At 42.7% G+C, this 26,331-nt stretch overlaps 2 protein-coding genes and 1 long non-coding RNA gene across 5 annotated transcripts in view, besides 2 other annotated features; 1 reads left to right on the top strand and 2 right to left on the bottom strand.

Moving 5' to 3' along the window:
* Positions 1-4,073, bottom strand: part of KLKB1 (kallikrein B1) — a 47,619-nt gene extending 43,546 nt beyond the window's left edge. Inside the window, exon 1 of the mRNA XM_047415661.1 lies at positions 674-4,073. The gene's annotated coding sequence lies outside the window, so the exon portion shown is untranslated. The remainder of the gene's footprint in view (positions 1-673) is intronic.
* Positions 1,463-23,359, bottom strand: CYP4V2 (cytochrome P450 family 4 subfamily V member 2). Of its 3 annotated transcripts, none has more exons than NM_207352.4 (11): positions 22,889-23,359; positions 20,314-20,426; positions 18,838-18,923; positions 17,796-17,986; positions 17,324-17,393; positions 15,843-15,969; positions 13,584-13,769; positions 9,624-9,726; positions 5,927-6,061; positions 5,654-5,833; positions 1,463-4,457 (listed from the first exon to the last, which is right to left on the bottom strand). In NM_207352.4, exons 1-11 carry the CDS (start codon positions 23,100-23,102, stop codon positions 4,285-4,287), a joined length of 1,578 nt encoding a protein of 525 aa, NP_997235.3. In that variant the 5' UTR covers positions 23,103-23,359; the 3' UTR covers positions 1,463-4,284. The 3 variants fall into 3 exon arrangements, with proteins under 3 accessions (NP_997235.3, XP_005262992.1, XP_047306033.1); XM_005262935.5 differs by having other exon boundaries at positions 5,654-5,830; XM_047450077.1 differs by lacking the exons at positions 18,838-18,923; positions 22,889-23,359 and having other exon boundaries at positions 20,314-21,678.
* Positions 12,980-13,029: an enhancer, noted in NCBI's record as "active region_22267". NCBI's record gives its function as "activates an Ori minimal core promoter by ATAC-STARR-seq in GM12878 lymphoblastoid cells {active_cell/tissue: GM12878}" and the evidence as "EXISTENCE:reporter gene assay evidence [ECO:0000049][PMID:35858748]".
* Positions 23,033-23,562: a silencer, noted in NCBI's record as "silent region_15858". NCBI's record gives its function as "represses an Ori minimal core promoter by ATAC-STARR-seq in GM12878 lymphoblastoid cells {active_cell/tissue: GM12878}" and the evidence as "EXISTENCE:reporter gene assay evidence [ECO:0000049][PMID:35858748]".
* Positions 23,436-25,894, top strand: FLJ38576 (uncharacterized LOC651430). Its single transcript, NR_046264.1, has one exon. It is a non-coding gene; the product is annotated as an uncharacterized LOC651430 (long non-coding RNA).

Raw genomic sequence — 26,331 nt, 5'->3', positions numbered from 1 at the left:
AAAGAACGTGCCAAAAACTTATCTACTAGGATAAAGAGAACAAGATCAACAGCTAAATGCTGGAGTTAATTCCAAAACTGAATTCAGCCCAAGGAAATAACCATTTGGTGAACTTCTGGACAAGAAACTGAGGCAAGGATGCAACGAGTCCATTTTAGTAATTAGAGATGAGAGATTTATCCCTGAAATGTGGCATACAGCTAGCCAGCAGGAAAATGAACCTGGTTTAATTAGAGGAGAAAAATGACTAATTAGTCCAGAAAGTCATCATGGCAGAACCAAAAAACTAGACTGATGTGTTAGGTTAAGCCTAGCTGTCTTCTAAAACAATGCAGTGTAACTTTAACTTTCCTACTATCTAGAAAAGAGAAAACTCTGCATTTTCTTAAATGGTATTGCATTTAAAGGACTGGTGGGCATATATGCTGATGATCCAATACAGAGAATTATTGAACAGCACAAAGAAAATAGGGTGAAGACCTAAGATCATATCCAGAGAATGGGGGCCCTTCCTTCATCCTTCGGCTGACCTGACACACACTAACTCGCTTTTGGTCATAAATGAAAGACAGTCCTTTTAAGCAAACGGCAATATACTGGCTCTTGGGTTCCCAAGTAGGGTGGACCCACTGAAGAGTGAGCAGGGCAGACATGCAGTGAGCCTCAGCATCACCTGCCATGTGGGACTCAGGTTCCTCCAGGATTCTGTCCATTTCTTCTGCCTGCTTCTTCTCATCACCCAGCAGCTGCTCCAGAGGTTCTATTGCTGATTGATCTTGAGTTTCACAACCTGGAGTTTCCACCACAGAGATGGACTGTATCTCTTCTTCAATTGCAGCTGGGAAAACTCGTTGGGGAGAACTCGAATTTAACCTTGCTTGGGTCACTCAACAAAGGTTGAGAAAGTGGGATTGCCTAAGAATATGGCACATATTTACAGTGTGTGTATGCTGGGGAAGGAAAAAGATGAGAACAGAAGAAAAGCCGGTAATTCATTGTAGGATAATTTCAAAAATAAAAAGTGCTGCTCCTAGAAAAAGAGGGTGCCCACGCAGACTAAAAATTTTTAAATGTATCACTCAGGCATTAGATGCTGGAAGGAAAAAGGTTTTGATCTTCTAGAAACATTCCAGATAAAAATGGATTTTTACGACCAGCATCTCTTATTGGGTCATTTGGTCCAGAAACTGATATCCCCAGCTGTCTGTGACAATGCATAGAGCCCCAAATCAACAGTCCATCACCTGGAGAGGTTTCTGGACTCTAAATCCCTGGGACCAGTGATGCCTGTGGTTTTTGCTGATTCCCAGTAACTGAGTTTACTTTGTGCTTTCAGCTGAGCAAAATGTTCTGGTGATTCTACTTCTTCTAGTTGATTCTTCAGAGTCAGAGAAATTCACAATCTCTCTATGACAACAGTAAAGGAACCTTTTGTTAGAAAATCCAAGAGTCACTGACGACATCAGCTCGAAAGTGCTATTTATTTTATTACCCATTATGAATCAGCCATCTCCTGATTTATCTTTTACAGTTTTCTATGTTTTGAATTGATATCAATTCTTAGAATAAAATGCAGTACCTGCATCTAAAATAGAATTTATTTTTCTTGAGACACGTCTTTCAGGCAGAGGAAAGGTAATGGGCACACAAACCTTGATCATCTTCTTATAAAACAAGGCAGCATCCACATTTCAATACTGTAGCATATGAAATAATTTCTCAATTCCTACTCTGTCATAGCTTAAATGACTTACTGATTAAAATATGAGTAACAATAATTCTGGAGCTGAAAGACATTCTCAAGCCAAAAGGTAACATTAAACAATGTTTTACTTTAAATTTAATGTCATGTAGGGTCACTAAAAACAAAATGTAAGGGATAAATGTAAGTGCATAAAACAGAGATAATACCAATTTCCACAAATACAACTTTTATTATCCAAAATCATCTTGGAAGGACTTTTTCTAATATGCCCATTTTCTAAATAAGATTAACCATTTGATGGGAATATTTCCAATTGTATCACCTCCTTCCTTGACTTTTTCTTCATCAACTTAGGGCCTGGGTTGTAGGCACTGTGGCTCTTTGGGATAGTTAAATGGGTGCAATTTGGCTGAGACCGCCCCTGTCTTAAATGGCCCAGGCTACAGGGCTTGCCAAATGGCTTTGGTTTGCAACCTCTTCCTTTGATATCCATTGAAGAACACATGTCCTACCCTCTTGATTGCAAGCTTCTATCTGCTATTGGCTATCAGGAGCATAACAGATAAGTTCTAAGGTCCTTCCAGTTCCAAAAGCCATTGACCAACCCTGTGAGGCACTATGAGAGATTGGAGATTACTGAGGAATCTCTTCCAATAACATATGATATATAAAGGTAATTGTGATTCTATGAAGAGTGAATAAAAATTGAAAACAAAACCAATCTTGTTTAAACTATTAAATGAAGTTTTAAAAAATAATGGAGTGGGTAGATGTATTGCCTATCAAATTAAAATTCAGTGAACACGTGTCAGTTATCACCTTCATAAGTATGATCTATAAGGTTGAATTAACTAAAGATCTAACCCTAAACTAAGTGAGATATTACTGGGTTACTAAATATAGATGAATGGCTTCCTTTTTCCTTTAAAGATGGAAGAATCCCAAAAGTATGCCTGAATCAGAAGCAGAGGACTCATGTTCTAATGACACGTCTGATCATCACCCTGAGTTCCATAAAGCTATAGCATATTGTAGTAGAAAGTATATCAGCATGTGAGTGGAGAGATTTAAGGGTATAGATCTCTACGTATTTCCAGCTCTGTCACCAACTGGTAACATGACTTTGGGCAGAAACTGTCTTATTGATTCTATTCCCTTACTTATAATATAAAGGAGCATAACTAGATAAGTTCTAAAGTCCTTCTAGCTCCAAAAGGCATGATTAACTCTGTGAGGCACTGTGAAAAAACTGGAGATTATGAAGATGAATCTCTTCCAATAATATGATATATAAAGGTGACTGGGATTCTATGAGGAATTAAATGAAGACTATAAGTGCACGATCAAAAGAAAAACTGTAACAGAACCTACTAATCAACTTAAAATAATCTGCTCCAGGTTATAAAATCTGAAAAGTACTATAATGATTATTCTTGTCATAACTGGTCCCACTAATATAATTTTTAAAACCTGAGAGCTGAAGTCAGAGTACATACTCACCTCTTTCAAATTATATGTGTGTATGTGTGTGTGTGTGTGTGTGTGTGTGTGTGTGTATGTGTGTATTCCTGAGTCACCATGAATACCTTTAAAAAATTCTAGAACTTTGGGCCAGGCATGGTGGCTCATGCCTGTAATGCCAGCACTTTGGGAGGCCGAGGCAGGCAGATCACGAGGTCAAGAGATCAAGACCATCCTGGCCAACATGGTGAAACCCCATCTCTACTAAAAATACAAAAATTAGCTGGGCGTGGTGGCAGGCGCCTGTAGTCCCAGCTACTCAGGAGGCTGAGGCAGGAGAATCACTTGAACCTGGGAGGTGGAGGTTGCAGTGAGCCGAGATGTCACCACTGCGTTCCAGCCTGGGCGACAGAGCAAGACTCCATCTCAAACAAACAAACAAAAACTCTAGAACTTTGATTAAATTATATTTTTTGGGTCTATCAATTGAAGTGGAATTGGACTGTGGATTCCTCTGTTGAGAAACCTGTTAGATGTTTATTTGGGTGCTGACACAATTAACTACTTTTGTGACCACAGCCAACTGTAACATCTATGGTGGTGATAAAAATAAAAAACTCTGGCCAGGCGTGGTGGCTCACGACTATAATCCCAGCACTTTGGGAGGCTGAGGCAGGTGGATCACTTGAGGTCAGGAGTTTGAGACCAGTCTGGCCAACATGGTGACACCCTGTTTCTACTAAAAATACAAAAAAATTAGCCAGGCATGGTGGCAGGCACCTGTAATCCCAGCTACTTGGGAGGCTGAGGCAGAAGAATTGCTTGAACCTGGGAGGTGGAGGTTGCAGTGAGCTGAGATCACACCACTGCACTCCTCCAGCCTGGGCGACAGAGTGAGACACGGTTTCAAAAAAAAAAAATAAAGAAAAAAGAAAAAAGAAAATACAAAACTCAAAACTTTTTCTTTGTTAGACTTGATGTCAAGATCAGTGGGATCAAGGAAAAATTAGGTCTAGGGGATTCAAGCATATTGAACTCATGATCTGTAAATTGTAAATGACAAGGATCTCTTAAAATAAAGACCTTTCTCATGATAAAGGCACAACCCAATAATATAGTTAGCGTTCATCTGCATTTCTCCTCTTCAACTTGATCCAGATGCCATTACTTGGACGAAGAATCAACTGTCCTTCTAGACCAAGCTCTTCTCTTTTCTGGTTGGATTCTATCCAAAAGTGCCTCAGGATGCACGAAAGAATGGTCTTTTCTTCCATCACAGCAAACTTTTGACCTTCAAATTAATGTAGATACCATCGCTTTAGTTATAGATTTACCCCAAATGTGAGAAACAAGAGGTCCTGTCATAGGAAGCGAGCCACTTTACATTTTCGCAGTAGGTGGAAGGAGAACCAGAATGGCTTGGAACACCTGTTAAAGATGAAGAGTCTTGAGTTTCCCTCCCTGATCCCACCTTGCACATCTATAGCTGGGGAGGATCAGAGAATTTGTACTCCAGCTGATCCAGATAAATCCTGAGCTCCTTCAAGCTTGAGACTCACTACCCTAGATTATGTCTTAGTGGGTCTTTCATTTACTATGGATTCACCAAAAAAGCTTCAGATTCACCCGTTTCACTCTGGCCTCATTTTACCGATGTCTGCATTTACATAAATGACAAAATGCTAGAGATACTAAAACCAAAAGGGTTTATAATGCAGGGTGGTGATGTGCATTCATTTTGCTTAAGTACTAGCTGGCCATATGGCAAGCATTTGCTGTTTTGATTTGCAAAATGAAATTCTTAAAAGCAATAAACACAAAAATTAGGTTAACCATAAGTAATCATTAATAAAGTTTTTACCACAATAAGTTATATTCTACTGTAATTAAAACTCTACAACATTTTGAAACTCTACCATGAAGCTAATTATGTTTTATGTTATGGGTAATTGTGTCTCTCTCCAAATTCTAAGCCCCCCCCATACCTTAGAATATGACTGTATTTGGAGACAGGTAATCGAAAGAGGTCAGTAAGTATAAGTGAGGTCATTGGGGTAGGCCCTAGTGTAGTCTGACTGGAGAGAAGATCAGGACACAGACCCACACAGAGGAAAGACCAAGTGAAGACATAAGGAGAAAATGGCATCTACAAGCCACGGAGAGAGGCCTCAGGAGAAACCAGCCCTGCCAACACCTTGTTCTTGAACTTCCAGCCTCCAGAACTGTGAGAAAATAAATTTCTGCTGTTTAAGCCACCCAGTCTGTGGTATTTTGCTATGGAAGCCCATGCAGGCGAATATACTAATATACCTTTTGACCGTAATATTTTAAAACTACAAAGCACAGTGAGGGAAAAAAGAAACCACCTATTTTTTTTTTAAGGCTGTTGCATATGGGCAATGTCACATCACATCTCAAAGAAATCACTGTGAGAAACCCACCATCAAGTGGGCCTGAAAGGTCAAACCAATTCAGATGGATACAAACCTATACAGTTCCTGGGGCCAGCAGAGAAGGGCACGTAGGCATATGGATGGCGCCCTTGTGCATTCTCGGGGAAGAACCGCTCAGGCTGGAACTCCTCGGGGTTGGGGAAGTATCTCGGATCTCTGTGCAATGCATAGGGAATGATGACGGCTTCAGTGCCTTTTAGAACTCTGTAACCTGCTGTCAAGAAGTAGTCAATACATTATGAGACCGGAGCAAGGTAGACATTAGAAAGTTTCCCTCTCCCTTCTACTTTAGGTATAGCATACTTACCCACTTCACAATCTTCACTAACACTACGGGCAAATAAAGGAACAGAAGGAAAAAGGCGAAGGGTCTCCTTAATAACACATTCCAGATACCGAAGTTTCTTCAGGTCTTCTACTGTAGCGGGACGGTCAGACTTCCCTGATGAAAGCAAGTAGATAAGATGACCTGAAAGAGCAGTGGGGGCTGGGGGTGCAGACATCTAAAAAGAACAGGTGGATCAAGGCATGGCATGCTAAATACCCATCAAATACCCAACAAAGAAGAACACGTGGATCAAGGCAGGGGATGCTAAATACCCATCAAATGCCCATCAAAGAAGAACATGTGGATCAAGGTACTGGATGCTAAATACCCATCAAATACCCTTCAAAGAAAAACACGTGGACCAAGGCAGGGGATGCTAAATACCCATCAAATACCCTTCAAAGAAGAACATGTGGATCAAGGTACTGGATGCTAAATACCCATCAAATACCCATCAAAGAACACGTGGATCAAGGTACTAGATGCTAAATACGCATCAAATACCCTTCAAAGAAGAACATGTGGATCAAGGCAGGGGATGCTAAATACCCATCAAATGCCCATCAAAGAAGAACACTTGGATCAAGGTACTGGATGCTAAATACCCATCAAATACCCTTCAAAGAAGAACACGTGGATCAAGGTACTGGATGCTAAATACCCATCAAATACCCTTCAAAGAAGAACACGTGGATCAAGGCAGGGGATGCTAAATACCCATCAAATACGCATCAAATACCCTTCAAAGAAGAACATGTGGATCAAGGCAGGGGATGCTAAATACCCATCAAATACCCATCAAAGAAGAACATGTGGATCAAGGTACTGGATGCTAAATACCCATCAAATACCCTTCAAAGAAGAACACGTGGATCAAGGTACTGGATGCTAAATATCCATCAAATACCCTTCAAAGAAGAACACGTGGATCAAGGCAGGGGATGCTAAATACCCATCAAAGAAGAACATGTGGATCAAGGCAGGGGATGCTAAATAGCCACAGCTAAAGCAGAATTTCTAACATTATGCATTATCAAAATAAAATGGACAATGTGCCAAGTAAAATAAACAGACACTAAAGGTCACATATTGTACGAATCCATATATAGGAAGTACTCGGAATAGGTAAATCCAGAGAGACAGAAAGTAAATCACAGGCTTCCAGGGCCAGGGGAAGGAGGAATCAAGAGGGACTGCTTAATCCTACCAGGTTTCCTTTCGAGGTGCTGAAAATGTTCCGGAATTAGGTAGACATAACTATCGTACAACATGGTGAAGGTACTAAATGCTGCTGAAATGTACATTTTAAAATGGTAGATTTTATGTTATGTGACATTTACCTCAGTAAAAAAAAAAATAACATTTAAGGAATTAATACTTGCAAAGTATTAATTATTAATTATTTAATATTTTTATATATTTTAATATATTTTATATATTATATAATTTTTAATATAAATATAATTTAATAATTAATTATTAATTAATAATGCAAAGTAATAACTCACTACACAAAGAATAGTTGCTCAAATGTTTTTTTCTTTCTTTCTTTCTTTTTTTTTTTTTGGAGACAGAGTCTTGCTCTGCTGCCCAGGCTGGAATGCAGTGGTGCAATCTCTGCTCACTGTAAGCTCCGCCCCCTGAGGGGTTCATGTCATTCTCCTGCCTCAGCCTCCCGAGTAGCTGGGACTACAGGCACCTGCCACCATGCCCGGCTAATTTTTTTGTATTTTTAATAGAGACAGGGTTTCACTGTGTTAGCCAGGATGGTCTCGATCTCCTGACCTCGTGATCCGCCCACCTCGGCCTCCCAAAGTGCTGGGATTACAGGCGTGAGCCACCGAGCCCAGCTTAGTTGCTCAAAAATTCTAGAACTAGGATTGGGGGTAGAAGAAAAAGTGAGGCACAATGAGCAGAAAACACAAGAATCACAGAGCAAAGCTTCTAGTAATGATGACTGTGTCACTCATTCTGCAGGACCACAAAGCTTTGTGAAACTGGTAATGAGCTAAACTTTGTAGGGGATACAAAAGATTGAAGCCTATTCCAAAAGAACTTGTGAGCTTTTGGAAGACCAAATTTATCCACTCAAGGCAATCTAAGCAAAACTAAAATCAGTGTTAAAAAGATAAAATGATGACAAAAATGTTGCCAAAAGTGTTAGATGGTGTCCATTCTGCAAAATAAAAGCTTGCCTCTTAATATGAAATTCCAGTCCCAGCACAATCTGCACACAAAACTGCTTTTCCATCCTCATCTCCCAGTGAATGAGAGATGAGTTCTCGCGGTCTCTCACTCTCCACTATTGCCCTCCATGCCAGAAACCTTTCCACTTCTGTGCCGTTGCTCATCTGCTTCCTCTCTTTCTAGAATGCCTTCTCTCTCCAGCTTTATTCCTTTAGTTTTCTTTCCCTGCTTCTCACTGTAAAACTGCATCAGATACCACTTGTTGCTTGGCTAACTCAACTTTATTCCTTTTCACCTTGCAGCTATTGGGGGCCATATGACACGTGATTTTTAACAAGGATAAAATCTATGGAAGCCTCTTTGTGGCAGACTGATAATGGGCCCCAAAATATCAGGTCTTAATCCCTGCAATCTGTAAATGTTACCCTATTTGGAAGAAGAGAACTCTTGGCAGATTTGATTAAATTAAAGATCTTACAGTGGGTAGATTATCCAGGTGAGCCCTGAACGCCATCACAAGTATGTCACAAGTATGCTTGTGAAAGACACACAAGCACACACATGCACACACACACACACCACACATGCATGCACGTGCGTGCACACACTCACACCCAGAGAAAAGAGAAGGCGATGCAGAGACTGGCAGAGATAGCAGTGATGCGGCTGTCAGCCAAGAAATGCTGGCAGCCACCGGAAGCTGAAGAGACAAGGAGTGGATATTTTCCCAGTGGGCCACAGCCCTGCCCACATGGTGATGTGGGCTCAATGACACTGATCTTTGACTCGGGTGTCCAGAACTGTGAGGGAACAGACGTCGCTGCTGTGAACCTCCCTGTCTGTGGATTTGTCACAGCAGCAGCCACAGGACACCAACACACCCGGTACCCCCACCTCCCCTGTCTTCCTGCCTTGAAGATGAACGTGATGCTTGGAACGTCAATCATGAGGACAAAAGCCAAGATGGTAGGGATGGCTGGGAGCAAAAGGGCAAGTCTGGGACCCTGGACATCCTACTGGCAGGACTTTTCCTCCGGGCTGCTTGCTGTGTAATAGAAATGTATCTCCTCGAAGCTTAATCCACCTTTTTAATCCACATTTTCTCTCCTTTGTGGTGAGAGGCAATCTGCGAAACAGCTTTCCTGTACCTTTCTAAATAGTTTCACCAGCTCCTCCTTTCTCCCAAATAGCACCTTCTTCACTCAAATGCACGACCCATGACTCAAAGCCTCTGTTTCGCCTGGGTAGCAGTGAGACCCTTGAGGACAGCAGCACGCATCAGTGCACCCCAGCATCCGGCCTAGTACAGTCACTTGCCAGGCGACTGGCAGAGGCCTGTGAGTGAATGGACGAGGCCTTGCAAAGGGGATGGTACTGGAAAGGATCCCGTGGGGGAGCCTTCCTGCTCATTACACTGTGTTTACAACACAGTGACATCTCTGCAGCAGACTTAGTACCACAATATAACCAGTGAAGGGGCCAAACATACCAAACACGTCATCCAATTCATGATCCACTTTTTTCTGGACTTCTGGGTTAGAACCCAACAGGTATAAGGACCAGTTTATTGCAGCTGCAGTTGTATCGTGCCCCTACAAATGCAGAAAACAATAGCTTAAAAAGCAGAGTTATGCTGCGATGATTAGGAGTGACCAGAAACCTCTTTTGAATTGTCTCTGGATTTGATGACTGCACTGTGACTGCAAACATAAGAAATGAATTCTGTGCAGCACCTTGCCTCGGTGACAAACAAGGAAACAAGCCTGCAAAGCGGAGGTTCATGCCTAGAGATGGCAGTTCCACGCCGCACGGTGTTGCACGCTGGTGGGACGTGCCTGTGCTGTGTTAATAAAGGCGGCGTTCCATGGGCACGAGGTGAGCTGCGCCTTTGTGAACAGAACAAAGTCTGATTTTCACGAGCCTGCTTGTCAGGGCTGTACTTCTCTGCCTTCCCCCATCTGTCAGGTGGGCCTCACCTGTTGATGACGGGCACCAGGGGGTAGAGGTGTGGTTCTAAGTCATATCCTCTGCAGTAAAAATTGACAACAACCTCATTTCATACTTGCTGAGTTTTAGGCAAAATACTAAGCACTTTGCAGAAACTGAATTAATCTGCACAAAAACTCCATGAAAGACTCATTACTGTTCTTTACAATTCAGAGATTAAAAACTGAGGCCAAAGATGTGGTTAAATAACTTCTTCTGTGCTAAACAGCTTAGTGGGAAACAGAGGCAGAAACTGAGCCTGCGGCGTGTCCGATGACAAAGCCAGCTGAGCCCACGCCATTCCCTCCACACCCTGTGCAGTAAGGACGCTCCACCTCCACCTCTTACGCCAGCGTAACGTCTCCACCTCCACCTCTTACGCCAGCGAAACGTCTCCACCGCCACCTCTTACGCCAGCGTAGCGCCTCCACCGCCGCCTCTTACGCCAGCGTAGCGCCTCCACCGCCGCCTCTTACGCCAGCGTAGCGTCTCCACCGCCGCCTCTTACGCCAGCGTAGCGTCTCCACCGCCGCGTCTTACGCCAGCGTAGCGTCTCCACCGCCACCTCTTACGCCAGCGTAACGTCTCCACCTCCACCTCTTAGCGGTAGCGTAACGTCTCCGCCTCCACCTCTTAAGCTAGTGTAATGTCTCGGGCAACCTTCTTTCCCACCCATTTGATATTTCAGGACCTGGCTTCTTATCTACCTCCTCATCTCCCTAGCACATTTCCATATGCAAAAGTGGTGAGTTCTTCAGAAAAAAAAAAAATGTATCTGGAAAGTCAATAACAGTAATCTACCTCTCTGAAACTTTGAGGACAAAAAGAAAAAACAAATTATTTCCTCTATAAAAGATCTCACTTTTCCATTTTTCCTATGTGGCACAAGTGATTTTTGTAATATTTCATTCTCTGTGCAGAAATCTTCAAAGTACTTGTTTTATAAAACAGCTCCTAAAATGAATTGCTCGGGGCTTATTCTGCAATTCTTAAAAGACACAGCCTACAGGTCCTGAGGTCGGCGCCTCTGCATTTTCCTAGCACTTGCAGTTACAAAACCTACTCGGAACTCCAGATGAGCTCCGGCCCGTTGTGCTCAGTTGTCTAAGTACGGAAGGAAGTATTCTGGCTAAACAATTTTAATAGCTTTCCTTGAATTTATGAGCGGAAGCCTGATCCAAATGCATAAGAGGAGTCTGCTGAACTTCCGATTTCATTTCATCTGCCAACTGCAGAAAGCATGATAAGGCAAACGTAAAGCACCGAGGCACACTGGTGGAGCAGGGGAGGACGCCCACTTTTAGCTCACAGCTGGAACCTGGGCAGTTGCAGCCTGCACCAGCCTGTGGAGGAGGCCACAGTATCACACTCACAGCCTGCACCGGCCTGTGGAGGAGGCCACAGTGTCACTCACAGCCTGCACCGACCTGTGGAGGAGGCCACAGTATCACACTCACACCTGGTATGCTGCCTCCCTTTCAATGCAAAGAAGAAAACAATTAGAATGTCAAGGAATGTTAGAGTTGGAAGAAAAATCATTAGTCTGGTTCTGATTGTTTACGTGAGATTGAGAGGTTCCTGGTAGGAGATGGATGTGTGTGTGCACATGTGTGTACATATGTGTATGGGGTTGTGCACATATATGAATGTGTGTACGTGGATATGTACATGTATTTGTGTGTGCCTTTGTGCTTATGTACACGAGTGTACATAGCTGTGTGCATTTATGTGTGCATGTGTGTATATATGTGCATCTATGTATGTGTATATGCGCATGTGTGTATGTAGGTGTGTACATGTGTTTTTGTATGATTGCATAAATGTACATGAATGTGTGCCTCTGTGGGGGGTGGTGTGTGCATGTATGTGTATGCATGCATGTGTGCATGTGGGTATATGTGTGCATGCATGTGTATGCATGCATGTGTGCATGTGGGTATATGTGTGCATGTGTGTGTATGTGCATGAGTATCTGGGTGTGTGTGTATATTTGTGTGTGAGTGTATGCACGTGTGTGCGCATGTGGATATACATATGTTTGTGTGTGCATGTATGTGCATGAGTGTATGTAGGTGTGTGCATGTGTTTGTGTATGTGTGTATATGTGAATGTGTGTATGTTGGTATATACATGTGTCTGTGCATGTGTATGTGCATGAGCATATGTGTGTGTGTAAGTGTGTGCATGTGTGTGCATGGGTTTACATGAGTGTATGCGTGTGTGTGTGTAGTACATGGGCAAGGTGAAGATGTGAGATCTCTCTACTCCGACATGCAATAATAACACCCGGTATGTGCCGCATACTTATGGGCCAATCACGATTCTCAGAGCACCTTTACAAATCTAATCATCATAACTATTCCATGAGGCTTGTGCTATTAAAATAAGAATATTCAGGCCCAGAACGGCTAGGTGAGGTGCTTGAGGTCATGGTCCCAGCATGTTAGCTGGGATTTGATCTTAGAGCCCACACACTTAACACCTCTCTACTTTTCAGCTAATTTAGATGTCCATTTTCTGCTTAAGATTTATTTTCAGTAAAGTTTTCTGCTTAAAAAAGTTTAAAACCACCAACGTAGTCCATCTCTCGCTTTACACATAGGAAAATTGTGACAGAACTCTGGAATGATCAGAACTATCTTATTTGGCTAATCAGCACAGAGCCTGAACTGGAACTCGGATCGAAAGACCCATCACACAACCTTCTTCTACCGTGTCGTGGAGCCTCACACCAGAGTGCAGGACACTGGCACTGCCGCCAGAGGCTGCCGCAGAGCAGCTCACACGTGGGTGGCAGGCAGAGCCATTAAAAACTCAGGTGCCTTTCACTCTGCCCCATGTGGACGATATTACTACATGGCTTCTAAAAACCATGTTTTATTTATTTTGCAATCCACATATAGAGAAAGTCCCTCTTTGTAGGATTTAATATTTAGGCTATCTTGCTAAAATGTACTTCACATATGTATGTATAAATTTGAGATCAGAGATCTTTTTAGAATCATGAACTGGCTGATTCTCTGTTGGAGGGCTCTTAACTGTCCTCTAGGTAGAGTAGCTCATGGCAGCAGCTAAGTGCTCATCTGCTGGAACCTCAGAAAGCAGGTGGTGAGGAAGTGGACTTGCATGTCTGGGAGGTTAGAAGGAAGCCTGAAGCCACATGGAGAACTGAGAGCAATCTCTGGCTGCTCTTCTGCTTGGGAAAACTCTGACAAATCTTAGGTTTTCTTGAGGAAAAACAAATGTGTCTACTGCTGTGCCCAGCACTAGTCAAAATCGTTTTCTGAAGAAGTTGAGCTGGTACTTAATCAGTTTCTTAAATTTTGTAATTTCTAATTAAAATATAATGAATCTTCTTTAGTTAAACTACTTTAAAATTTGATTGTTTTAAAAAATAATGCTAAAGATTCTAACAATAACTGAAATTTGTTTAATGATATCTGAACCTAACAATATACAATACCTCAAACATGAAGGTGTCAACTTCTTCTCGAATATCTTCATGACTTAGCCTGTTCCCTTCGTCATCAGTCACACTTAAAAGCAAGTCAAGAAAGGCCCTGCGTTTATTTTTGGAGGGGGCAGAGCCCCTGCCATCACCTCTACAGTCTTCATTGGCGTTCATTTCATTGGCCCGTTCAGCGATGACCTGTATGATTTGAATGATAATCACATGCTTCTGTTTGGACTTGGATGCACCCTAGTTAACACATTTTCTTATAAAATATGCTAGTTTCTTTCATTTATTTTTCTAAGCCTATTTCAACATTTCGACAACATAGGCTCTTGTGAAAATACAGTAAAGCCTCATTAATATTTTGGGGATTATCTGGTGAAACTTTTAAAAACAAATTTAATGTCACGCAAATTCCTAATTTTCAAGTGCTATTTTTGCAGTCTTTCCAACACAAGAATAGAATCATAGTCTACTAGATAGTACCCTAGAGATTGGATTGCGCTAATGAGAAAAAGTTTAAGTGGTAGAGTGAATGCAATCATTATACAACAGTCTAATTATAGACTTAATTACATGTTGTAGAGGAGAAAAGAAACAGCAAGCAGATTAGTGAATTCACCCTCTATGCTTGCGATTTCTGCTGCCTGAAATGCTTTCCTCAGAGGCCTGCACGGCTGCCCCCTCCCTTCTTCCAGATCTCTGCTCATTGTCACACGATCAGAGAGACCTCCCTCATCCCTGCTACCCCTGTCCCTAGCACTGCGACGCCTCCTAACAATGCTTTTTCTCCATTTCCCTTGCCACCTGACATTATGTGATACTTCTGTCATACTTATTATTATAATGTGATATTATACTTACGTTATACTTATTATTTAGCATCTTTCTCTTACAACTCAAACACTGCCATGCTTGTGCATGTCTTTGTTCATTGATACATTTCCAACCTCTAGAGCACTGCTTGGCATTTAACAAATACTCACTAGATATTTCTTGGATGGATAAAAGAATGAAGGCCAATACACTTAATTTGGTTGTACATTTCAACCTTCTTTTCCTACCAGGTAATTGACCAAACCTGCTACTAAGTGGCCTGAATAGATTCTAAGCAATTTGAGGGCAAAACACCATGTCTTTTTTTATTCTTGGTGGAATTCCTAGAGCCCAGGCCTCAGTAGGCAATTCTCAATGTTTATTCAATGAATAAAATTGTCTATTCAGTCTGGAATTCATTTAATTATTGCTATTAAATATTAATGCACAAAATTTAAGGAAAAATATAATTATGAAATATAACCTGCTGGCTATTCTCCTATAACCAGGTGATCACACTCCACTGTGGCCAGCTCAGCCAACATTGCATTCATGGAACATCTACTGATTTATTCATCATTTGCTCTCTTGGGGGTAGGGTGTACTTCACCACAAGGACATAACTCCAATAGATTTTAACCAAAATTTACAGCAAAGAAAGGACATATTTAAACAGGCAGTTTTTTAATACACTGAAATTATAATTTGATGTATATTTTCAATTAAGTCTTGCTTTTTCAAAACACATTATTAACACAAAGATTGACATCCTATATTCAAAACAACATCACTATCTTCTGGTTATTTTTGAATTGGAAATAGAATACTAATATCTAGTTAGTTTTAATGTTTTCCATGTTAAGATACTGCTATCAATGCCCTCTGCCTTTGAAAATGACTGCCGAATCCAAACATTTTCCAGAAAACTCCTATACATAGATCTTTGTTCCTTTATTCTTTTACACAGCACCCTGTTTGTTCATAAGTGTTCACAGCTCATATCACATGTTGTAATTATGTGTTGATAGATCACCTCTCCTACTAGAATAACTTCCTTTCAGGTACGGACCATATACACATGTCCTACTCATTACTACATTTCCAACATTTGGTATGGTGGTTAGCACTTAGCGAGTACTTAATTAATATTTGTTGACTACATAATTGAAGTATACATTTTTATACTTAAGTATAATTTTTTATATGAAAAATTGTTTTCTATTATTATTCAAGTTTTATTTTCTGAGACATAGGCTCCATAGTCCTACACCGGGTATGTTAACAAAACATCAACATCATGGACTTACCAAAAGTTCTGGAAATGAACGGTGGGGATGGTTGCACAACATCGTGAATGCACTTAATACCACCAAACTGTACAGTTAAAATGGTTATAAAGGGAAATTTTATGTTATGTCTATTTTACCACAATTGTAAAAGTCAGGGACTTACACTGTTGGTAAAAGTATGTAGGATCTGAAGGCTCTTTTTGTGTTCCCATCCTTCTTTAAACATAAGGTACCAGAGATCAAGCCAAAGCCAGGGCATCTTTATTCTTCGAAATATCATCTCACTCATTCTATAAATGGGATAAAAATACATCAGCTGTTGTATCAGAAATGTGTATTTCTTGAGCACTTCTTTAGTACCTGGCCTTGATGAAGGCAATCGTGGGAATGACGATGATTGTCTTAGAGGCTACTAAGAGCTCCATGTTTTATGCTTAGCAGTGAAGGCATGGGCTATTACGCATCCCATGAAGCCTCAGAAAATAATGGGCTCTTTAAAGGAATGAAGGATTCATTATAAAACATCCTTACTAGATAGCCATTTGGTCTCTGCTTCTGCTTCTCCAGGGCAAGTTTCCCACTCTGCCTAGGACCTCTGCACCAGGGTTTGAGATGAAATCGGCCTCTTTTTAAGGTCCATCATTGGTCTGACCACTCCTCTGGAGTGACAGAAGACAACTGGCTGCCCTCTTCTACAAGCGAGGGCTCTCTAAGTACCCATCTGTCACTTGGCTGTCCCAGCACCTCCCTTTCATGTCCAGCCATAGAGCAGAAAGACCCCTATGTGATCTCCTGCAGGACCAGCTTAGGTGCCGGTTCTTCAGAAAGACCTTTCCTGGCCTCTCACTCTGTAGGACACTTTCTTGTTTTGCTCTCTGGTATCAATTTGATCTTTTCTTCCTGAGCAATTATTACAGTTCATGAATTTCTTTGTCCGTTGCCTGCCTCCTGTGTTATTCTGTTTTGTGTACTACTACAAAACCAGTCAGTACCCTGTGCAGTGATTGGAAAATCACAGATGCCTAATAAATATTGGTTAAAATGAAGTGAAATGAGCAGGAGACTTAAATATACTCAGCTCAATGCACTTCTCTGTACTTCATCAAGTCCTTGCCCTGCCTTTTAACAGGTGAATAATTGCAAGCAATTTTAGAGTAAAATTGACTGTTTCGATGACTAAAACAATACCTACTTGGTGCAGAAAATATGGGAAGAAGAATAACAACAAAAGGAAAGCACAAGAATGAGAAACACATACACGAGACAATGAGAAACACTGCTAACATTCTGTTATAATATCTGCTAGTTTTTTTCTATGAATAATTTTTAAATATAACAATTATCATGGTACAGAAAACTGTTTATATCTTTCTTTTCTCAGCATCATAATGTAAGCATCATTATGTACAATATAATGTAATCTCAATGTTAGAGAATAATCATTTTAAATTACTACATAATCTAGATGTGCCATAATTTACATAACCTTTACTGCTTAAACACATGCTTACATGATGAGGTTAACTTCTAGTTTAATGTTTAATTTTGAAACCATAAAAAGATACAACGCAGAAATTGTTAGCAATAATTTTTAAAGCCTAAATCAATAATAATTGTTAAAATAACTGAAAGGACTCCATTTACCTATAAACTGCACGGACATACTCGGAATCATCATTACTTTGAGCACCAATATTCTTCCCCATAGCTGTTTCTATAAAATATGGGTGAGAAGCAACCATTCAATTCACGCACGTTAGTTATCTCGTGTTTATTTTGCAGCGGCAGACACTAAAGACGTACATCCTGCTTTGTCCTTGTATATTTCAGAATTCTTCTTCCTCCCTTTACCCTCTTCTCTTGTACGGTCCACTTCTACTCCCTGTTCCTGTTCTTCCTTCCCTTCGCCTCCCTGGGCAGTTGCTCCATGCCTGCCCCACTCACAGCCCTGGGCGTGGCTGCTGCTCCTCAGAAGGCCAGTGCGGTCGTAGAACCGCGCTGAAGAGCCCGTCACCCTTTCCCGTCCCCCCATTTGCCTTCCCGGTGGAGTGTGATTTCCTGTTTGGGCCATTTTCTCTTTATGCCATAAATTTAGAAACAGATCGATGAGACTCACCACAGATGATATCTAAGGCACAAAGAGTGATGTAAAAAAAGCAGTTAAATGCTTCTTGGTTAATGTGTTTTTCAAGTTTCTTAACCAATATATTTGCTTGTTCATTCATGATATCTAAGAAATCTTCCAGAATGGTAAAATGGAAAGTGGGTGTTAACATCTTTCTCCTGGAGCGCCATTTGTTTCCAGTACTAGAAATAAAATATGTGGTTACAAAAAATATATCTACAGAGAGAGAGAGAGAAAGAGAAAAGTAACATCCAAAACGATTAAAGCATAAATATAGCAAGTCAACAAAATTCTCCTGAAACAGCTTCATCTACAGGTTCTCAAATGCTTTTGGCAGAATGACAAAGATATACACATATCTATAAAATATTCATCTATAGTTACAAAATATGAGTATTTTGGACATTGTTCTATACATGTTTAAAATAGCATTCATAAAATTGAAAAATTTAAGAATTTTTCTCAATTTCTAAGTTCCGAGTTTCTAATAATAAATTTATTTCTCCTTCCATCAATACCTCAGTCCTCAGATGATCCTCACACTCCATGGTTCTACCTTGATCTCTCCCCTCTCCAGTTCTCCAAAGTCCCTGCTAGGCTCCTGCCTTGCTCTTGTGGGGCCCTCTCTCAGAGGATGGAGCCCTGTTTCTAGATACCAGCTCACTGTACTTCTCTGGGGCTGACCATCTTTTTGATTGGATTTTCAAGATTTCCCTGCTCCAGACACTCCTTTGCTTTACTGTGTCCTCCATCCCGTCCACTCCCGTCCATCAGGACCTCCTGAGTCTTCCTGAACACTGGCGACAGTCGCTATTGAATACCACAGCTGAAGATAACTGTTCACCTGGACTCTTGGCCTCTTGACGGGCAAAGGCCAGCTGCCAGCTGGACCTTCCTTTCCAGCCTTTCTCCTCCTTTCTGAGAGAACAGTCCTGCTACAGAAAAAGCTACCCTGTGTTAATTCTTGAAATAACAAGTTGCACGTAGAAGTAACCATTTCTATAGACAGCTTTACAAAGGTACACTGGCATACCTTGTAAGAAGTCCTAGGCCAAGCCATGGTTCTAAAAACTTGTACATAGAGGATTTGTCAATTTGCTTTGAACTAGTTAAAATTACCTTAGGAAGAGAAAAACATACTTTAGAGACATACAGACATCAAACAACCTTCCTGTAATTATAGGAATACTGGCTAGAATACAGCTAGTTTTTAGGGCATTCACAACATTTATTTTCTCCGTCGTTCATTTTCAGTCCTGTGCCTCAAAGACATTCAGTTAGAGTTTTGAACATAAAACTGGCATTCAGTCTTGGGGACTCAATGGAGTTGGGGGGAAGAAAGATGTCCCAGATGATTCTCTGGTTCCCGCCATAAACCAGGAACCAAGTGGAGTTATTTAATGTGGGGAGGGGGACAGTGAGGTGGGAGGAGGCGAATCTGGAGGGTGGGCACATGTGGGGAGATGGAAATCATAGGTGTATTTTCAGGTGATGGTAACTTTGAGGCCTTCAGGTTGCTGTGGTCTGAAAGCAAGTGAGACAGCCAAGATAAGGCCTGAGCTGGAGATGCCTGTTCGGAGTGTCCCCAGCATAGAGGCAGCAATGGAAGCCATGAACGTGATCGGATCACCCAGAGTCCACGTGAAGTGGGAGGAGGGATGGGGTCTAGGGCTGAGCACAGGGTGCCCACCAGGCTTCTTGCTCAAGTCCCCTACTCTGGACAGATCTCCATCTGCATCCACCACACCAACTTCTATTAACACTAGGCCAACAGCGGCAGAAATCCTGTCTGCCCTTCTTGCTCTCTTCTCTGAGCCAGGATTCTGGAGAAGCAAGAGAAACTCCAACATTTTCACCATAATTAGAAAGACATGTCCTGGCACTACTTCCTAGGAAATTCAGTCTTTAATTTTGGTCGATGAAGAGAAGCTCTGTTTACCCCATCTTTGTTTCCTGACCCAAATCCTTTTCTCACCATACTACAAGATGATTTCCCCAGACCTTTCAACAAGTAAAAAGACTACAGCTTTTTGGAGGACTAATTTCAACAGCATGGGTTTGTAATATTTATCCCATAAATATCAAATTTGCATTGTCTTTTAAATTTGGACTAAGTTTATCATTGATATGAGACCCTGAGCAACTTGAGGGAAACATATTTTATTAGTCATATATTTTTGAAGTCTTAAAATAGCGTCTGGTGGATAACAAGTGCTTGCCTTGCGGAATAATTTATTTGTGTTTCTAAAAAACGATATCCTTTCAAAAAAAGAATAAATATAAAGGGACCTGATAGCAGTTGTGCACTTATATCTGGAGAATGTTAATCTCCCAGGATTCGGGCTATACCTGGAAAGCATTAAATTGCACCTATATAGTCTAAAATACTTAGTGGAATGTTTTTTGTGCTGAAATGGCTGAAATATAAGGACACGTTATATTGATTCTGGTGAGATTCTCACACTGTCAGATACACAGTACAATACTGATCATATTCACATGTACCCACCTCCACATTTTCTGCATTATAAAGGGCCACCATGGGCACTGGCCCGACCCAGAGCTTCAGCAGCGGCATGTGGCGGTATTCCTCTGTGTACTCAATGATCTGCTGAAAAAATTCTGGGGAAAAACATCAAATTTGAAATTCAATCAAGATGAGAAAGTTGTGACCAGTATTGGACAAAGGTTTGTTTTCTCATTTTGATGAATATACTAATTCTGTAATATGTTACTGTTAGAGGAAGCCAGGTAGAGAGCATGTGTGAACTGCCTGTAATACTGCAACTTTTCTGTAAGTCTAAAGTTTTTTTCAACATAGTATTTGCCACAGCAAATAAACACACATAATGCATGTTAGCTATTAGAGAATAATAATTATTAGGTTTTGATGTCCCAGAACGGGCATTCTTTCTAACGACTGCCCAGTATCACAGAGCTAGTAAATGGTGGAAACTGGCTTGTACCGAGCGAGACTCCAGAACTTCACCATAAACTATGCTGCTTCCAAATGTCTCTCAGATGAAGCAGTTGTCAAAATTGCTATGAAGGGAGCTGGGTGAAATCACCAGTGTCAATCATCCTGCGTCATGCAAATATACTGCCTGCCCTGGTCTGGTCTGACAGAGGGGACAGGGAGGTCTCAATCTGTGGTTCTAAGGCAGCAGGTCCAACAGCTGGGAGTAGCTGGGGAAGGCAGACTTTGTCACAATGGACTGGAAAATGCTAGATTAGAGTTTAGAGGCCAGTTGGAAGCCAACTGCAATCTTCAAGGTGAAATGGCTGAGGCCAGCGTTTGGACATTAGCCGCAAAATGAAACGCAACACCTCTTGTATGTGAAAGACAAGATTCTTGGGAACAACGACTGTATCTTAGAATATTCTGATATCCCCAACTTTGTTGAGGTCAACACTGGGCACAAAGCAGGGCCTTACTAAATGCTTGATTGACAACTAAAGAACTTACTCTAACTGACTTCTAGACAGTGATCTAGAAACTTTGCATGCAATAAATTTAATCCTTAAAGTGACTCTGTAATATAGTCACTTTAACAAGTAAAGGAGAAAGAAAACCCTCTAAGTTAAAGAGTTTTAAATAATTTCTCAAACAACTTGGATATAGTGTTGGAAATTGAACAGTGGTTTTCCTGATGCCAAAATCCAGAATTTGTTGGTGGAATAAAAAGTCCCTTTGTAAAAGACAGTATTCGTCATTGTCTTCACTCTGAAAGTGACTACAAGGAGAATTACTTTAAATAGTCCAGTCAGCTCACAGGTTGTTTTGAAACAGGTCTTTATTCACTAGAGATTTTAATTACTGGAATCCCCAAAACAGTATGATGAGACTTCAGTATATTACTTTCCAGGGGTAGGGGATAGGGGAAAATCTATATTTTTGTACAGTTTATTTTTTAATACCATAAAGCCTTAGGACAAAAGGGGTGGTTAGCTCTGCTTTTAGAATTAACTGAGATGATTTTTACCAGTGTGATTTTCATATCTGTGTTGGATTACTTGTTACATCAGTCATGATGATATTTGGTTGGCAAAGAGTTCGCTTGATTTTTTTCTGTCAAAGTATTTTTAATATTTTGGTAAACACTCTTCCATGAGGCCTCATCTTGTGAAGTTGAAATTACAGCATTATTTTTATTAGAGAAAACAAGTGAAAATGAGAAAAAGTCCTTCAAGCTTTGGAGTTAGTTAATGCTCAGCCTGTAAAACGATTACTAACAAATAATCCCAGAGGAAACTGGGTTCTGGTCTGGGCCAATTTTAAAATATGCCATTTTGGGCAAATCTTCTCATTTCTGGGTACCTCAACGTAATCCCTGATGAAAATAAAACTCTGAGATCGAGTTCGCCCTCCCTGACAGGGAGTTGTAAATACCAGGTACTTTTGAGAGCTTTCTAACTTAACGTGATTTTTTTCCATCAATAAAATGTCCATCTCTGTTTTAAAACATGATTTTAATTAAAAAATTCACTCTTTAATAAACAAGGCGTTTGACACCCTCCAAAGAAGTCTGCCTGAAGGCCCTGCCGTCTCTTAATTGTTATTATGTAACATCCTTTAAAGGGCTAAAGTATGAAGGTCAAGCGGGAACTGAAGCAGCAGTCAAGTCTTGTGATGCCGGGAGGAAGCGTCCAGTGAATCTCTAGTCTCTTATTTTCCAAAGTGGCAGCGAGAGGAGGGCGGCTCTGGGCGTTAAGGTGTTGGCCAGTTTAAAACCGCTCTGTGCTCCCAGGGAGCTTCTGTTCCTAAGGCTTCCCAAGCCAAGGCAGGAGGAAACGGCAGGGCTTTGAGAGCTGAGCAGCGGTGAGGTGGGAAAAGACCGAGGGCAGGGGTTTGGAAATACCGCATCCTGTGCTACACACAAAGAAAATGCTCACTTTGGGATGGGGCACTAGCAGTGTCGGCGGGTGCCAAGGGGCAACGACTAGAACTGGGAGTGCATTCTCCACAGGGTGACAGGCTCCTCTCTCCTGCGGCCAGCGCCACAAGCAGCGGGTTCCTGGCTGATCGGAGGGTGGGAACGGGGCTGCGGACCCCGTTGCGCTCCAGGAGGAGCGCCGGCCCTTACCTCGCCCGTCCGGCTTCATCAGCAGCGCGTGGCCCACCAGTGGGTAGGCGCGGGCCACCGTGGGGATGGGCCGCATCTGCTGCCATTTCCGCGCGTAGCTCGCCACCCTCTGCAGCAGGCTCAGGACCAGACTGGCGCCGGCCAGGGAAAGGGCACTCGCCGCGCCCCACAGCAGCAGCTTCTGCCACACGAGCCCCAGCCAGAGCCCCGCCATCGCCCCGGCTGGCGGCCGCGGGGTGCACTCCGGGAAAGTGCGGGCCCGCGGGGGCGTGGTGCGAGGCGGTGCCGGCCGCACACCGCCCACTTCCCCGCGCGGACCTGGCGCGCTCCCCGCTGCGGGGTCGCCCGGTCCCCGGAACGACGTTTCCCGCCCGGGCGGCGGCCAGAGAGGGCGCCACGGGGCTGTTCCTGCGCCCGGCCCGGCCTACGCAGCACCGCGGCCTCCACGCCCCAGCCGAAAGCGAAAGACCGGAAAACGGTTTCCGGGCCCCAGGGCGTAGTGATTGCACTGGAGGCCCGGAGGCTGCGCCGGGAGGAGGCCGGCGACACTTCCGGCCGCCTCCGGATGCGGGGTCAGGGGCGTCGGAAAGGTCACCGCGGCAGCCCGGCGCGCCCCAGCGGGGCTGTTCTGAGGGTGCTGCGAGGTTGCTCTACGTGCGGGATTCCGCGGGCGGGCAGCCTGCTCTGGAGAGGAAAGGAAGGCGCATCCGGCTCGGAGCCCAGCTCTGCTGCGCATCGCTCGCTCCCTGCGCAACTTGCAGCCCCGGGAGGCGGGGCGCGTCCTGGCTCCCGCGGGGTCACATGGAGCAGCGGGCGCTGTAATCCAGGGAGGCTTTGGGGACACGTTAGGGAAGTCAGCTACCCGTGTGTGTCCGCTGGCCCACTGGGACACTGGGAGCTCAATGAGGTGGTTATGAGCCAGGTATTTTCCAAAATACGCACCAGGCACCAGACCGAGGAAGCCGGAGCCCCGGAGAGCACGCAGGGGCGGGTGGGAGAGGAAGGCGGGCGAGGCTGCTCAGCGGGTGCCGGGAGACCGCAGCCGCGGGGTACTCGCAGAAGAGCCAAGACCTGCCACCCAGCCCGGGAAGGGAGGGAAGGGCCGCGAGAGGGTGCCCCATTTCAGCCTGGGGAGACGCGTGTGCTGGCCGCCAGTCTCTCTTCCCGGCAGAGGGCCCCAGTGCTGACCCCAGCCCCTTTTCCACGCTCGATGCTTCTTACAAAGTGGCCGGGCGAGGAGTGTCGCTCCCCGAGAGGCCAGGCCCTTCCTAAACACTAAAGTGCCAGGAAGATGAAACTGAATGTCCTGGATGCCCGCTTTGCTTAATTACTAATTACGTTCGTTCACTCGAAGCCACTGCATAAGTTGGCCACAGCCACCTGCAGGGCCTCTTTAGTGCAGAGAAAAACATGCCTAAGGCTTTTCTCCATTTGAATTTGTTTTAAGTCATCTGCATGGGCTGACGTGAAATAGCAAGTGAACAAAACAAGTTGCAGAACGGAGTGTGTAAAGTAATGCCTTCTTTTGGAGAAAAGGTTTCTTTCTCTACGGCTCCACTAATGTCTGCAAGTAAAAATACTGATCAGCTCTATGGAGTGGGAATGAAGATGGGGAACTTACGCTTTTTATTTCATTCACGTCTACATTGTTTAATCACTTTAACACTTTAAAAAATAAATATGTTCACTTAGTATCTTTAAGCAAGTCTCATGGGCTTTAGTTTCCTCCTCTCTAAAGGGTTGAGGCTGAGCTATAATAAGGTTAATTACAGCTATAAAAGTAAACAATTTGTCTACATACTGGGGATTCTAAAATAGGGGGAGGAAGGAAGGGGAGTAATGGTTGAAAAACTGTGTATTGGGTACTGTGTTCCCTATTCAGGTGAGGGGATCAATAGAAACTCAAACCTCAGCGTCAGGCAAATTTAACAAACCTGCACATGTGCTCTTGAATCTAAAATTAGAAAGAAAAAGGGTTTGTCTGTATCAGTCTCTGCTAACCTCTGTGGATAAAACCAGGCGGGTAACATACAACCCCTCCCCTCCAGAAGGAGAGAAGGGAGATTGCTCTGGGCAGCAGTGAGTCTCGGCCTGGGCAGAAATGGTCAGAAATGCTGCAGAGCCAGGAGGGGTAAAATGAGCTCAGGGGGCAGTGAGGTGCCCCTGCCTGGAGCACAGGGTCCCACGCAGTGACAGGTGCAGGATGAGGTGGGTGGGTATGGAGCCAGCTTAAAGAGACCTGCACTGCCAGGCTTAGACGCTTTATCTTTATTTTGAAGGCAATCTGTGGGTAAAGAACAAAATAAAAGCCTTGTCCCTTTGTTCCCTTAGCCATCTTTCTTATGCTTTCTTTGTTACCAGATAGGGCCTTTCTCATACTACCCTGGAATACTGAAATTTCAGACTAAACCAGTCAGGTGGCTGGGAGTGCAAGAAATCCTTGGCAAGACCCTTCTCCCCGGAAAGCCTCCTGACAGCAGAGTACACAGTGTCACACCTTAGAATGTCCACCATGAAATGTAATGGTGCTCAGTGTAGCAGATGATTGCAAGGCCAGTGTGAAGGCAATCTACCCACAACATTTATAACTCTGCGGGTTGTCAGCTTCATGAGCTATGCAGCTGAGTAGGAAGGCATCTCCTGACTTTCACTCCTCAAGATCCATTCTCTATGATGCCCTTCCCACTTGAAAGAGCTTTCTTTAGCCAAGGTCTTTCTTTGATACTCTGTCCCCCTAAAAATCAGTGCTTTTGAAAGTCATGGCCAGAATAGTATAAACAACAGAAGGGTTTTATAAATGTTAATACTTTGATTTCGCAAATTTTCTGTCACTTGGAATGATTCTTAATACAAAACAATGTACATTATAAAAATAAATTCATAGCTCAGTATAGAACTACATTATCTGCAAACTCTACTTACACACATCAAATCATAAAGGGTAGCAGGAAGTTGTTATGAAATTTTGAATCACAAGTACAAGGATCAAATAAAGTATACAACACTCAAACGTCCAGTTTCATGAACAAACCATCACTTCCATGTAACCACAACCCAGATCATGCGATACAACGTGAAATCATACAGCATGCACTTTTTCGTATCTGGCTTCCTAAACTCAACCCTGAGTTTAGATGAATTTGAAAAACAAGTTAGATAACTTATACCAAGAAATATCAAGACTTATAACATTATTAATTAAAATCATGTAATTGGCACACAAATGGAAAACAGCAATAAAACAGATCATATGTATGTGTACAATCACCTGATTTATGACAATCTATATTGACTATATTGCCATGTGTAATATTTTCCCTTATTTTTCACAGCTGTTTATTATTCCATTGTTGGAATATATTATAATTTATTATTCATTTTACTGCCAATGGATGTTTCAGTTGTTTCCAGTTTTCCTATGTTGTGAAGAATTTTGTATGATC

Source organism: Homo sapiens, chromosome 4 (assembly GCF_000001405.40).
Source record: "Homo sapiens chromosome 4, GRCh38.p14 Primary Assembly".
NCBI classification, from domain to species: Eukaryota; Metazoa; Chordata; class Mammalia; order Primates; family Hominidae; genus Homo; species Homo sapiens.
Note: the sequence above shows the minus strand (reverse complement) of the source record. Positions and strands in the feature narration are given on the sequence as shown.